This window comes from Homo sapiens, chromosome 16, assembly GCF_000001405.40.
Source record: "Homo sapiens chromosome 16, GRCh38.p14 Primary Assembly".
Lineage (NCBI taxonomy): Eukaryota > Metazoa > Chordata > Mammalia > Primates > Hominidae > Homo > Homo sapiens.
The window spans coordinates 85,489,285-85,503,626 of record NC_000016.10 but is presented as its reverse complement, the minus strand read 5'-3'; the positions used below and the strand labels follow the sequence as shown (position 1 = coordinate 85,503,626).

The window sequence follows — 14,342 nt, the reverse complement described above, 5'->3', positions numbered from 1 at the left end:
GGTACAAGGCAAGAGATCATAATTTGGGTCGCTGCGGTGTTTAATTAATTGGACTGCGGCAATCAGAGCTCCGTGGGCCGTAATTACCAGCAGGGCCAGAGGCCCCGCTCCCCTCGCCGTGTCTCACAGCTGTAATTTTGTGGAGGCTCTGACCTGGCTCAGAGCAAGAGGCCCCAGAGTTCTCTCAAGGCCGAGGTCCTTCACTAGGTGGTCATGATTTGTGAGGAGGAGGAGGAGGAGCGGCAGCTGAGGGCAGGTGGAGGCTGGGGAGTTAGGGCAGGAAGGACTGCACCTGCCCACACCCTTCCCTCCTGGGGGCTGCCTCTCCACCAGGTCATTTTGGCAGCTGACCCTCCGTGAGACACCCGTGTGGTGACCCCTGGATGCTGGAGAAAGTCACGGGGAATGGAAATCCTGGCTTCAGCGTCTCACTTAATCCCGTCAGTGGCTCCCACCCACTCTGGCCTCCTGCTGTTCTACCAATGGTCTGGGTGAGCTCAGACCTCAGGGCCTTGGCACTGGCCGTGCCCTCTGCCCGGGGCACCCCTCAATGTCAACAGGGTTTCCTGCCACTGTCTTTCCTCAAATACAAGCTCAGTGTGGTCTCCTCATGGGGCCTTTCCCAGCCTTCTTACCCTCATCGCCCTCCAGCCCTGGACCTTGTCTGTCTCCTCCGATAATCCTCCTCCCGCCACGCATTCTGTCTTCCGTGGGCACCCAGCCCTGGCCTCCTGGAACAGGCAGCTCTTTTTCACCCCCCTGCTTGCTCCTGGTCCCCAGGGCCACTGCTGCTCTCCAGTCCAGGTTGATCTTGTTCAAGTTTCAGAGGATCCCTGGACAAGCCAGAGTAAACGCAGTCCTTCCCGGCTCCACGGACACCAAGATGGCCCTGCCCAGCTCACTCCTTGAACTTGACCCCAGGCTCCCCTGCAGGTCGGCGGTAGCCTTGCCTCTGACCCTGTAGGGTTCCTTCTCCAGCTTCTTTCAGCTCATGATCTCAAGAGCAGAGGCCTCGCAGCCACCATGGCAGACACAGACCAAGAACTCGGACCACCAGGTGGAGGCCTTGGCTCAGGCCTGGCCCAGCGCTGGCTGAGTTCCAGAAGCCCGGTTGCCCTCAGAATCTCACTCACCGGTAATAGCGGGAACTTTGGAACCAGACTGCTCCCTGCTGAGCCTCAGTTTCCCCATTGGTAAAATGGGAGGAGTCCTGCTTCCTCCCTCCTGGGAGCTGTCCTTCTGAGCAGATGAGCTGACGGTGCTCAGGGCGGCACACACAGGGCCATGAACCTGCGCTACCCACGGCGCTACCCACAGCACAGGCTGATCTCCTGGGGAAGCTGCCAGGATCGAACTCCACTGTGCGCACCTAGGTCCTACAACCTCACGCACGAGGTGTCACCAAGGCTCTCTCGGGACGCAGCCCATATGGTCCCCCTGGCTGTCCCAAGCTCAGCTGGGCAGTTCCATCCCATCTCACCCAACCTCCAGCTGCCTTCCCTCAGGCTCAGCGCCTGCAGCCAGCACAGTCCCTTCCCACGGACCCCCATCGAGTGCCCCTGACACCCACTCCCCTCCTCCCGGGATCTTCCTGCAAGAGAGAGCTCTTGGTGGACATCTGGCTCCCCGGCTGAGCCTCCTGTGAGGAGAGCAGCCCCTCCAACCCTGCCCCCCAACAAAATATTCTTAGATGACAGCTCTGCCAGGGCCTGAGGGAAATTCAGAAATAAAATTACTCGTGTGAAGGAGATCCAGTCTGCAACTGTTGTAGAATGAGGGGTGGAGGCAGGGCCCTGTCGGGGCTGGGTTCCCATTCTAAAGCCACACAGCCAAGGGGCAGCCTCTGTGGGCAGCAGCCTGACCCGAGCGGTTCTCACCCAAAAGGGGGTGTTGTGGGCTGAACTGGTACCTCCAAAAGATATGCTGAAGTTTTGGCAAGGCACAGTGGCTCACGCCTGTAATCCTAGCGCTTTGGGAGGCCGAGGTGGGAGGGTTGCCGAGGCCAGGGGTTCGAGACCAGCCTGGGCAACATAGCGAAACCTAGTCTCTGCAAAAAATTTTTAAAAAATTAGCTGGGCATGGTGGCACACGCCTGTAGTCTCAGCTATTTAGGAGGCTGAGGCGGGAGATCGCTTGAACCCAGGAGTTGAAGCTGCAGTGAGCTATGATTTGCATCACTACACTCCAGCCTGGGCAACACAGTAAGACTCCATCCCCTAAAAAAAAAAAAAAAAAAAAAGGTGAAGTCCTAATCCCAGAACCGTGTATGTGACCTTATTTGGAAACAGGATCTTTGCAGATATTAGTTAAGAAGAGGCCATACTTGGCTGGGTGCGGTGGCTCACGCCTGTAATCCCAGCACTTTGGGAGGCCGAGGCAGGTGGATCACGAGGTCAGGAGATTGAGACTATCCTGGCTAACACGGTGAAAGCCCGTCTCTACTAAAAAAGTACAAAAAATTAGCTGGGCGTGGTGGGGGGCGCCTGTAGTCCCAACTGCTCGGGAGGCTGAGGCAGGAGAATGGTGTGCACCCGGGAGGCGGAGCTTGCAGTGAGCCGAGATCGTGCCACTCCAGCCTGGGCAACAGAGTGAGACTCCGTCTCAAAAAAAAAAAAAAAAAAAAAAAAACAGAACAGGCCATACTGGAGTAGGGTGGGCCTTTAATCCCAAGACTGGAGTCTCTAGCAGAAGAGGAAAAGGGACTCAGACACACACACGGAAGACAGCCACGTGCTGACAGAGGCAGAGACTGTGAGGAAGCTGGAAGGGGCGAAGAAGGATCCTCCCTTGGGGCCTTTAGAGGGAGCATGGCTCTGCAGACACCTCGATCTGGGACTTCGGGCCTTTATGACATAAGAGAATACATTTCTGTTGTTTCAAGCCCCCTCTCCATCCCCCGGTTTTGGTACTTTGTGTCTGCAGCCATGGGACACTGATGGGGGGAGGGGGTGAAATGGAGGAGGAAGGGTGACATGGAGAAGAGGGGCAGAGCAGAGCGGCTGGCCGATGCCCTGGCACACCCCACTCGGGTGCCCTCTGCAGCGTGCCCAAATCCATCACTGCCACGACGTGCCTCTCCTCCCAGACCCTTGGTGCGCAGTTCCCATGGAGATCGGGGACCCAGGGGCTGGGGGACAAATGCGCCTGTTTATTAGGAATCGAAGGCTGGGCTGTGCACATGTCAGTGGGGAGCTGCTTTTGAAGTGCCGAGTGATTTATTTTAGCCAATTACTGGTGCACTTCCCCTTCCCCAAGACCACACGTAATTGATTGAAACCTATTGAAAACAAATTAGCCAGCACCAGGATGCAAAGATCTGTTTATCACTTCTCTGGAGGTTTGCAGGAAATCCACGTGAACTACAAAACACGTTCCCATTTGTTTTTCCCTTCCCCAGAATGACAGGAGGAGAAAAAAGAACAAACCTTTTCCAGACTGAGCGGGCCTCGCTCTGCACCTGGCAGCCGGTTATTTTCTAGCTCTTGCAATATTGGGGATGATGATATGGAGGGGGCCCTAATATTCCACAGTACTAACACCACTGCTCCGTGGTGGGGTGTTTAGGGTGGTCTCATGATTTTACTGCAGAAACAAACATCTGCATTCTCCCACTTGTGTGTCTGTTTGCTATGACTTGCTTTCTTACAATAAATTCCCCAGCATGGGATTTCTGGAATCCAAATGAAGAAACGTCTCCATGGGTCTTGCTTCCACTTTTGCCTTTTTGCTTTTCCAAAAAGGTTTTTCCCATGTACGTGATGCTTGGGCTGTAACAGTCTGTCCATTTCACCACAACTGTGCCAGCAACATATGTTATCTTTTTATGTTTGGGGGCTGACCTAGCAGGTATAAAATGGTACTGGAGGGTGGGTTGAAATTTTACCTTTTATGTAAATTTTTAAAAATTATTTTTAATTGCAGTAAAATGCACATAAAATTTGCCATCTTTGCCATTTCTAAGTGCACAGTTCTGGGATATTAAGTACATTCACGCTGAGGTGCATTCTTAAAGACGACTTTCTGCTGGGTGTGGTGGCTCACGCCTGTAATCCCAGTACTTTGGGAGGCTGAGGCGGGCGGATCACAAGGCCAGGAGATCGAGACCATCCTAACACGGTGAAATCCCGTCTCTACTAAAAATACAAAAAATTAGCCGGGCGTGGTGGCGGGTGCCTGTAGTCACAGCTACTTGGGAGGCTGAGGCAGGAGAATGGTGTGAACCTGGGAGGCGGAGCTTGCAGTGAGCCGAGATCACGCCACTGCACTCCGGCCTAGGCGACTGAGTGAGACTCTGTCTCAAAAAAAAAAAAAAAAAAAAAAAAAAAAAAAAAGGTGACTTTCCTGCCTTCTCTCTGACAGCTGGCAGGCGCCCTCTCGCTGATGCCCATCTGGGTTGTCCTTCATGCCGCAGATCCTATGAGCTTCACTGTGCCCAGGCCTTGGCCTCAGAAGCCACTCCCAGGAGTGTCCCAAGTCCTAGAGTCCTACTCATACTCAGGGGATACCAAGGGGCTTCCTCCCCTGCTCAGAACCTGCAGTCTCACTCCTCTGCACTTCCCATCTGGCCTCAACTCCTCCTGGAAAAAGCCCTGCCTTCCACCAAATGCAGGTCCCATGGTGGCCCTAGCCCTGCCCTTCTCCCCACTCTGGCATCAAGCTTCCAATTGCTGGAGCTGGCATCTTCTCTCCCCGGTCTGTGCAATGCCGCTCACGGCCTGTCAGCCCAGGCCAGGTGCAAGTTGCTCTAACCACAATGGCCCTGCCACTCTGCAGGGGGAAGGGTGGCTGGGCCAGACAGCTGTTCCTTCAACTGGAGCCCAAGTGAGGCCTGCCTGTGCCACCCCTGGCCAGCTGCACCACTGCCCAAGCCGAAGAAGGTGAAAGCTCCCAGGCCCTGGGGAACCCCAGACCTCTCCCCTGCGGTCACAGCCACCACTGTGTGCTGTCGTGTGCATACACGTGTGAGTGTGGGGGGTGTCTAGGTTGTAGGTGCGCATGTGTGGATGTGTGTGGTATGTACATATATACACATGTGTTTATATATATGTAAGGTATGCATGGGGTGTATGCGTGAGTCTATATGCATGGATGTCTGTGTACATGCATGTATCTCTGTGTATGTTTGTGTGTCTGTATGCATGTGTGTACACATCTATGCATGTATATGCACATCCGTATGCATGGGTATCTGTGTGTCCGTGTGTGTCTGTGTGTCTGGATGTATGTGCATGTGTGTACATGTCTATGTGTGTATATGTTCATCTGTATGTGTGGGTATCTGTGTGTCCGTGTGTGTCTGTGTGTCTGGATGTATATGCATGTGTATATCTGTGTAGCCATCTATGCATGTGTGTTGGTGGGGAAGGGGACTCACTGAGGACACCCCAGCAGTTCAGTGCCGTGGAAGGATGGGCACAGGCTGGGAGGATCCCAGGAGAGGAATCGCAGCCTGCAGAACAAACGGGGGAGTGTGCACTGTGCTTCCCTCCTCCCGCCAGCTCCACTCTCCTTCATCAGCCAGCACGGCCCTGCCCACACACCCCTCTGGGGCCAGATCCAGGCACCCACCCCACCCCCACCCCACTGAGGTGTGGTGCTCCTGCGGAGCACACAGGCACGGTGGTCAGGGCGTGGGGTCCCTCGTCGCCCGCTCCCCCACCTCCCAGCTGACAGACTTCTGGTAAAAGCGATGTCAGCTCCCCAGGCTTTGGTTTCCCATCTGTAAAAAGGGGATAACAAGAGCGCCACCCTCCCAGGGAGGCTGTGGGGACTAACAGAGTTGCCACGTCAGGTGCTGAGATGGTGCTGGCTGTGGGCCGGGGGTGCAGAAAAGCAGTCTGCCCCACCCCGGGTTCCCCAGTCCCAGACCTTGAAGAAAGTGCTGGTTGTGTCCCCCAAGAAGTTGTGTCCATGTCCCCATCCCAGGACCATGCATAGGACATTATGTAGAGATGGGGTCTTTGTAGATGTGACAAAGGTGTAAGTTCACGCCACACCATACTGCTGCACAGACATAGGAGGCCTGGTCCCTTTCAGCAGTTTGCTGTGAGATGGCAGTTAGGAGAAAAATAGGTTCCCATTAGAAAGAATAACTAAAAATAAGAGCGGGGTGCCTCTCAGGGAACCGTGACCCTGTGCTGGGCACTGGGCTGAAGAATTCACGCACACGACCTTGTCTATCCCAACCATCCCGTGGGCCCCTGGAGGGCTCTACAGCCCCATTCTATAGATGAGGAAACTGAGGCACAGGGCTGAAGCCTCTCACTCCAGGTCCCACATGTGCTAGGATCTGGGAATCCCTGCTGCCACGAGAGTCCCAATGTAAAACGCAGGAGGCAGAGAAGGAGGTCTAACACCAGAGGTGCGCCCACCCACTCCGCCTTCAGGAGACCCAGCAGCTTCAGTGGGACCAGAAAGGCCCAGATCAGGGCCAGGCATGGTGGCTCACGCCTGTAATCCCAGCACTTTGGGAGGCTGAGGCGGGTGGATCACCTGAGGTCAGGAGTTCAAGACCAGCCTGGCCAACATGGCGAAACCCTGTTTCTACTAAAAATACAAAACTTAGCGGGGCGTGGTGGCACGTGCCTGTGATCCCAGCTACTCGGGAGGCTGAGGCAGGAGAATCGCTTGAACCTGGGAGGCAGAGGTTGCAATGAGCCGAGATAGAGCCACTGCACTCCAGCCTGGATGACAGAGTGAGACTCCATTTCAAGAAAAAAAAAACAACAAAGACCCAGACCAAAAGGGGGCACGTGGAAACCCTCCTGCCACAGGGGCTGCCCTGAGCCCCAAACGGGCCAGTGACAGGAGCAGGTGAGGGGCACTTTACAGCCCTGCCTGTCCTGGGTCCCTGGCAACAGCATCTCTCTGCTCCTGCCCCTCCCTCTCGTGCACCCCCGACCATCACTCACACCCTCCAAGGAACCCGGCCTCGAATCCTGTTTTGAATCTTCCTGAGCGCTCTCTATATGTCGTGACAGCATGGTCCCAGCTCCCTGCAAACAAGTCAGTTTCTCCCCAATTCCACTTCTGCCCTCAGCCTGCAAAAGCTGCCAGCGGTGGGTGGGTCGGCCCCCCTGCCCACAGCTGGCCTGGCTGCCACTCCGCAGACACGCCGCACCGAGGCCACCCGGGCTGCCCGCCTCGCCAGCACCCTTTGCTGGTCTCCCGGGCACAGTAATGGTTCCCTCTCTGGAAGCTTCCACTCAGTGCTTATCGCTCTGCTCTCTGTGAATCTCGTTTTCAACACTGTTGGGTCCCAGCGGTGCTCGGCGTCAGCCATGCAAACGCCATCGCTCACGCAGCATAAACCTGTTGTAACCATCCCGGTCGGGCCCGCGAGGGGCGGCCCATCGCTCATCCCTGACGACGGCCTTGGAGGCACGGGGTGGCGGGAGATGGATGGTTCTGGGAATTGCCATTGGCTGCAAAGTGGGCACCTCTCACCTCTGGGGAGCGAGGTCAAGTCACTGTCACCGCAGGCTCGGGCCCTGGGGAAATGAAGCCGGAGACCCTGCTCCGAGCTGTGCCCCCATACAGAGTGCTCGGATGGATTCTGCACCCGGGATCCAGCTCTGGCTTGCAGAACAATCGATTCCCGAGGTTCCCTGTGACGCTCTGAGGCAGGTCCCCCCGCGGCTTTTGACAAATGAGGAGTCTGAGACCGAGGGATGCTCGATGAATCACCCCAGGTCTCCAGGCTCTGGCATCCTTTCTATCAGGACAAGCTGCTCTGGCAGGCCTCAAACTCAGCCTCCCCACCTCCAGCCTCCTGGAGGCCTTGATTAGGCCTTAACTGCCCTGGCAGGGGTTTAAAATGTCCCCAGCATGGCTGGGCGTAGTGGCTCATGCCTGTAATCCCAGCACTTTGGGAGGCCAAGGTGGGCAGATCACCTGAGGCCAGGAGTTTTGAGACCAGCCTGGCCAACACAGTGAAACCCCATCTCTACTAAAAATTTTTTTTAAAAAATTAGCTAGACGTGGTAGTGCGCACCTGTAATCCCAGCTTATTGAGAGGCGTAAGAATTGCTTGAACCCTGGAGGTAGAGGCTGCAGGGAGCTGAGATCCCACCACTGCACCCCAGCCTGGGCCCGACAGAGTAAGACTCTGTCTCAAATAAAATAAAACATAAATGAATAAATAAATACACAAATAAATAAATAAATAAATAAATAAATAAATAAATAAATAAATAAAATGTTCCCAGCATGTTCTCATCTGAGCTTCAAACCCAGCAAGACAGTATCGGCCTTTGTCGGTGTCCTGAGCAACCTAGCAGGGCTCACGCTGCCGCTACCGAACCACAGGCCGGGACTCCCACTCCAGTGCTCCCTCCTCGCCCCCACACCACCCTTTGCCTCAGAAAACATTACGGGCAGGGTCTTCCAAACTAGCTTGACTTGGGGTCAGTATTTTCAGGGACCCCAACCTTGGCTTTCGGGGAACAGGCCCAGCCATCCTGAGCTTTTCTCTCCCTTTCTCCCCTCCTCCCGAAGGACAAAGAACACTAGAATAACCACACGTTAAATAATTTAGTGCTGGAAACAGCCCAGCATGATCATAGCCCATAGGAAGGCTACCAGCCTGACCTAGAAACTCCTGGGCCGGGCCGGACCCAGCAGGGCTCTGCCCCTGTGCCCAGTGGTTGACCTCTCCACAGCCCACCTGTTTCCAAGCAGCAGGAGTCCGATGCAGAAAGCCTGCACCGGCAGAGGCAGGGGACAGGGCCCGGCACCTCCTTTCTGTGTGGGGGCTGCCACAGAGGCACCTCGCCCTTCTGGGCTTGGCTTCCTCATCAGAAGAACAGGGGGTCACACTTGGTGAGCTGTAAAGCCCCTTCTAGCTCCTGAGTCTGCACTAGATTTAATAGAGTTCCCCCCAAATTTATATCCACCCAGAATCTCAGAATGTGACCTTATTTGGGGCCAGGTGTAGTTGCTCATACCTGCAGTCCCAGCACTTTGGGAGGCCAAGGAGGGAGGGTTGCTTGAGTCCAGGAGTTTGAGACCAGTTTGGGCAACATGGCAAAACCCTCTCTCTACAAAAATACAAAAAATTAGCTGGGCGTGGTGGGGCATGCCTGGAAGTGGAGGCTGCAGTGAGCTGGGATTGCACCACTGAACTCCAGCCTGGGCAACAGAGTGAGACCCTGTCTTGGAAAAAAAAAAAAAAAGGTGACCTTATTTGGAAATGGGATCTTTGCAGATGTTATTAGTTACTAAGGATAAGGTCATTTTGGAATAGGGTGGGCCCCAAGTCCAACATGACTGGGGTCCTTACAAGAAGACACTCAAAGCCAGAGGAAGAGACTGTAGTGAAGCGGCCACAAGCCAAAGGTCACCAGGAGCCACCAGAAGCCACCAGAAGTTGGGAGGCGCAGGGAAACTATTCCCCTAGAGCCTGCACAGGGAGCACGGCCCTGCTGATGCCTTGACTTCAGACTTGTGGCCTCCAGAACTGGGAGAGAATATGCTTCTGTTGTTATAAGCCCCTCTGTTCGGGGTAAGTTCTTAATGGCAGCTTTAGGGAACGAATACACTGACTTTTTTGTTTGAGACAGAGTCTTACTTTATCGCCCAGGCGGGAGTGCAATGTTGTGACTGTAGCCTCAAACTCCTGGGCCCAAGCGATCCTCCCACCTCAGCCTCCCAAGGTAGCTGGGACTACAGGCAACCACTACCATGTCAAGCTAATTTTTTTTTTCTTTTTGTAGAGACAAGGTCTCACTTATATTGCGCAGGCTGGTTTTGAACTCCTGAGCTCAAGCGAGGAGCTCCCAAGTAGCTGGGACTACAGATGTGTACCACCACAGCTGGCTTTTTTTTTTTTTTTTTTTGAGACGGAGTCTCACTCTCGTTGCCCAGGCTAGAGTGCAATGGCATGATCTCGGCTTACCACAACCTCTACCTCCCGGGTTCAAGCGATTCTCCACCTCCACCTCCGCCTCCCGGGTTCAAGCGATTCTCCTGCCTCAGCCTCCCAAGTAGCTGGGATGACAGGCATGTGCCACCACGCCCGGCTAATTTTGAATTTTTAGTAGAGACGGGGTTTCTCCATGTTGGTCAGGCTGGTCTTGAACTCCCGACCTCAGGAGATCCGCCTGCCTCGGCCTCCCAAAGTGCTGGGATTACAGGTGTGAGCCACTGTGCCCGGCCACAGCTGGCTAATATAATTTTTTGTAAAGATGGGGTTTGCCTCTGTTGGCCATGCTGGAGTACAGCAGTGTGATCATAGTTTACTGCAGCCTCCAACTCCTGGACTCAAGCAATCCTCCTGCCTTGGCCTCCCAAGTAGAAGACTACAGATGTGCACCACCCTGCCCAGCTAATATTATTTTGTTATAGAAATGGGGTCTCACTATGTCACTCAGGCTGGTCTTGAACTCCTGGCTTCAAGCAATCCCCCTGCCTCAGCTAATACAGAGTCTTAAACCTCAAGCCAGGTGCAATGGGAATTTGCCACAGCAAAGTTCTGCCTGGGGCCTCTGCATCGCCCCTCCCTGGAGAACACAGGGCTCACCAGCTCCCTTCCTCCAGGCCTCTGCTCCAACATCCCCCCACCAGCCTCCGCTGTCCCCCACTGGCACCAGCCCTGTGGCTCCATACCCTGCACTAGCTCTGAGCTCTTTTAGTGCGCATTCCCACAGACCGATCACATACTCTCAGGACGTGTATCGCCAACCCCAACACACACAGAGACGATAAGCTCCTCCAGGGCAGGGGTGTCTACCTCTGTCCCTGCTCTGTCACCTGCTCCAGGCTCATAGCAGATGCTCAGCAAATACTCCTAGGATGAACATGTGTGATCTGAGCCCAGCACCACTCCAGGCAAACTCAGGAAGGAACAGAAAGGCACCGTGAGGTCATGTGTCAGAATCCCCCAGGGACGGCTCCCTCTGGGAGGGAAGAGGCCTGACTGTGTCATCTCTGGTAGGCAGTGTGGCTACTTAAGGGCGCTGAATCTGGAAACTACCTGTGTTGAAATCCAACCTCTGCCACTTCGGAGCTGTGGAGCCTCAGACAAGCTGTTCGGCCTCTCTGGGCCCTAGTCGTCCATCTGTAAAGTGGTGATATGAAAGTACCTCCCCTCATTGAACTCTTGTGGATATTAAACAAGTGAACGTGGGTGAGGCCCTCAGAACAGGGGCTGGTATTTCGTAAGCACCAGGTAAGCATTTACTGCTGTTGCCATCATTGCTGGAATTCCAGGGAAAGAATTCCTAAGAAAGTAGCGTGCAGCAAGGGGGAGGGGATTCGATTTGAGAGGGGGACTCAAACAGGGATGGGGCCTGCTGGCGGGGACAGAATCTGAGTCCCCGAACTGCTAGAGATGGAACCCCAGAAACCTCAGCACAGGCCGACGGGGGCGGCTCCCAGCCAGTGCAGCCTCCGGCAGCCTCTAGTCTATTTATAGATCAAACACGCTCACCATCAAGGTCCCTGTGTCCCCGCCAAAAAGCTGGTTCTGACAAGCAGGAAAAGCAAGTCAACCGGAGGCTCCGGCCAAGCCTGTCTGGCACCCGCTGCCTCGGAGGGGCGGGCGTGTCCAGTGGTAGCCAGCTCTCCAGGCCTGGCTGCCCGTGTCCAGGGGTCAGCTTCCCAGCACCTCGGTGGTGGTGGTGGTGCCCAGGTAAGCAGAAAGATGCCCCAGCCCACAGGGTGCTCAGAGCACCAGGCGGGGACAGGGACAGGCAGACAGAAGGCACCTCCTGTCCACATGAATGGAGCCATGTGGTGTCAACACAGGCCACAGCCACCCCCTGGCTGACCTCGCAAGGGGCGCTGTGTCTCCCAAGAAAGGGGCACCCTCCAGGCTGCATCCAGCCAGGCCCAGTGTCACCCCCACTCTGCCCCTCTCCTCATCAGACTGTGGCGCTGAGACCTGGCTTTCAGGCTCCCAGGAGGACTCGGGGTACCAGCTGCCCCTTCCTGAAAGGAGACCAGGCTCGGCCACTTTTCTCACCTCCTCCACCATCATGTCTGACTCCTCAGGCGGGCCATGACCCCGCCTGAGCCCAAGCTCCTTCCAGCTGCCACACAGCCGTCTCGCCCTCCTTGCCCACAGGCCAGGCCTCCCTGCGCCCCAGCACCCCTGCCAGAGGGCAGCTTCTGAGCTCACACCCTGGCCCCCCAAGTCATCTGGCACATATCACCTTCTCATAAAGCCCCTCCCAACCCACTCTCTTCTAAAGCCACCACCCAGCCCCCCAGAATACCCTGCATCTTCCAACACCCCACCTCTCCTGTTCCTGTAGGGAGCTTCCTGTCTGTCTCCAAGGGCAGGGACTGTTCCTCGTGGCTCCAGGGCACCCCAGGTGCTGGTAGGTGCTCAGTGAACATTGGGTGAAGAAACAGATTGATCCTGGGTCCCTTCTCGTGGCCCCAGGTGGCACCCAGAGGCCTGAATTGAGGCCTGATGCTGCGTGAACACAACAGTGCCTACTAGCGGCTCCGGGCTGACCTGCAGCTGAGAAGGCTCAAAAGCTCTTTCCATCTGCTCTGGTGCCGCCCCCTGCGACAGGGCTTGGGGGGCCCAGCTGTACCCCTCCCCCGGCGCCTGCAGGACCTACCTCAAGGAGGGCTTTGGGGTACCCTGGCGGCCAGAGGCAGGGGGAGAGATCGGGGTGTGGAGTCCAGCCCCGCGTTGGGGAGGCTCCCGGGGCCGCTAATGGCTATGCCCCCATCCAGCAGACTTGGCCGGCATTAATTTGACCATACATACACACGCTAATCAGCTGTAACCGTGGCACCCAGCTCAATTCAAATTGATTTACTGAGCCTGGAAATGGATACAAATGTGATTAAAGGCTTTTTATTTTACATAGGTTCTCTATAAAATGATTTAAATCAATTGCCCGGCAGGCCCCACGCTACTGCTGCACAAAGCCTTCCTCTTCTATTGACGGACATGGTGCTCCGAGCCAGGGCTGGAGTCACAGTGCTCTCCGTTCCCGCCCTGGGATCAAAGTCGGGGCAGCCACAGCATCCACTCGTGGTGTGGCCGCCTCCACTCGGGGTGCCTCTCTGCGGTGACCGGGCACCTCCTCAGGAGCAGCAGGAGCTAGCGAGCGAGGGGCTGGCCTGGGAGCCAGGCAGGCGGACCATGGTGACAGCCTCCTACATCATCATTCCTTCTGGCTACGATGCCCTGGGCCTGGGAGGTCAAGTTGAGGATCTAGACCTCTGAAGGGGGTGCAGGAATGGGCGCTTCTGCGGACATCACCTGCTCTACCCTGCTGCCCCTTTTACACATGAGGAGACGAAGGCCCAGGGGTGTGCCCCAGGGCAGCAGAATCAGGGATAGACGGGTCCCAGCTCCTGGCATCCGTGAAGGCCCCACCTGCCCACATGAGCACCTAGCAGCTCTTGTTGATTTATAGAACGTTGTCTCCTCCAGGGAACACAGAAAACATGAGGTGCTCCTGGGCCCCTCAGCCTCTCAACATCTAGCGCAAGGGAGGCTGGAGCAGCAGCCAGCAGGCCAAGGCAGGTATCTGCCACCACCCCCACCTGTATGTCTCCAGGGCCCACCATAACACAGGACTGCAAATAGCATAAAGCCACAGATCTTTCTTCTCTCTCAGTTCTGAAGCCCAGAAGTCTGAAATCCAGGGGTGGGCAGGGCTGTGCCCCCACAGAAGGCTCTAAAGGAGGTAGGTCCTTCCTGCCTCATTCCCACTCCCGGTGGGTGTGGGCGCTGCGTGGCTGTGGCTGCCACGGCTACACTCTCGCCTGTCTTCACGTGGCCTTTCCTGCCTGTCTCTCCTCTTCTCCTAAAAACTACCAATCAGATTGGATTTAGGGCCCACCCTAGTCCCATGTGACCTCATCTCAACTCGATGACATCTGCAAAAACCCAATTTCCAAATAGGGTCACGTTCTGAGGTTCTGGGCAGACATGACGTTTGAGGGGACGCTATATTCACCCCAGTTCAGACGGGGTCTGAGTCACCACACTGGGGGTTCAGCTGGGAAGAGCCCATCCTCTTGTGAAGGAGGCGCGGGCCGCGTAGCAACTTCACGAATGAAGCACGGCTTGTGGGGTGGGTGCTATGGGGCGGGGGCTGTGGGGCAGGCGCTGCGGGGTGGGCACTGGCTGTGTGTCTGGGTCCGATGGCTGCACAGTCCCTGCTCCTTGGAAGGGCGATATGCCACTGCCTGTCTCTGCTTGAGAGCTTCTGCAGCGGTTCTGAGAACTGCAGAGGCAGATGGTGCTGGAGCCATGTACCACCTGGTTTCTAGGCAGCCCCCCAGCCCCCAGTGCCCACTGACAGGCAGGGGCCACTAGCCTCTTGCATCTTGGTGGCAGGGACGTTGCTCAGAAAATTCTCACCGGCCCGGCT

The 14,342-nt window shown here is 55.8% G+C and overlaps 1 protein-coding gene across 8 annotated transcripts in view, besides 5 other annotated features; it reads right to left on the bottom strand.

Moving 5' to 3' along the window:
* Positions 1–14,342, bottom strand: part of GSE1 (Gse1 coiled-coil protein) — a 506,689-nt gene that overhangs the window by 172,574 nt on the left and 319,773 nt on the right. The window lies entirely within an intron of this gene.
* Positions 4,679–4,958: an enhancer, noted in NCBI's record as "active region_11271". NCBI's record gives its function as "activates an Ori minimal core promoter by ATAC-STARR-seq in GM12878 lymphoblastoid cells {active_cell/tissue: GM12878}" and the evidence as "EXISTENCE:reporter gene assay evidence [ECO:0000049][PMID:35858748]".
* Positions 10,943–11,790: an enhancer, noted in NCBI's record as "H3K27ac-H3K4me1 hESC enhancer chr16:85525443-85526290 (GRCh37/hg19 assembly coordinates)". NCBI's record gives its function as "activates a minimal SCP1, AML or CMV promoter by ChIP-STARR-seq in naive H9 embryonic stem cells {active_cell/tissue: H9 hESC(naive)}" and the evidence as "EXISTENCE:reporter gene assay evidence [ECO:0000049][PMID:30033119]".
* Positions 11,313–11,449: a silencer, noted in NCBI's record as "fragment chr16:85525784-85525920 (GRCh37/hg19 assembly coordinates)". NCBI's record gives its function as "represses an EF-1alpha promoter that drives an FKBP-Casp9 reporter gene in an ReSE screen in phorbol 12-myristate 13-acetate-treated (for megakaryocytic differentiation) K562 erythroleukemia cells {active_cell/tissue: K562(+PMA)}" and the evidence as "EXISTENCE:reporter gene assay evidence [ECO:0000049][PMID:32094911]".
* Positions 11,791–12,638: an enhancer, noted in NCBI's record as "H3K27ac-H3K4me1 hESC enhancer chr16:85524595-85525442 (GRCh37/hg19 assembly coordinates)". NCBI's record gives its function as "activates a minimal SCP1, AML or CMV promoter by ChIP-STARR-seq in naive H9 embryonic stem cells {active_cell/tissue: H9 hESC(naive)}" and the evidence as "EXISTENCE:reporter gene assay evidence [ECO:0000049][PMID:30033119]".
* Positions 12,639–13,486: an enhancer, noted in NCBI's record as "H3K4me1 hESC enhancer chr16:85523747-85524594 (GRCh37/hg19 assembly coordinates)". NCBI's record gives its function as "activates a minimal SCP1, AML or CMV promoter by ChIP-STARR-seq in naive H9 embryonic stem cells {active_cell/tissue: H9 hESC(naive)}" and the evidence as "EXISTENCE:reporter gene assay evidence [ECO:0000049][PMID:30033119]".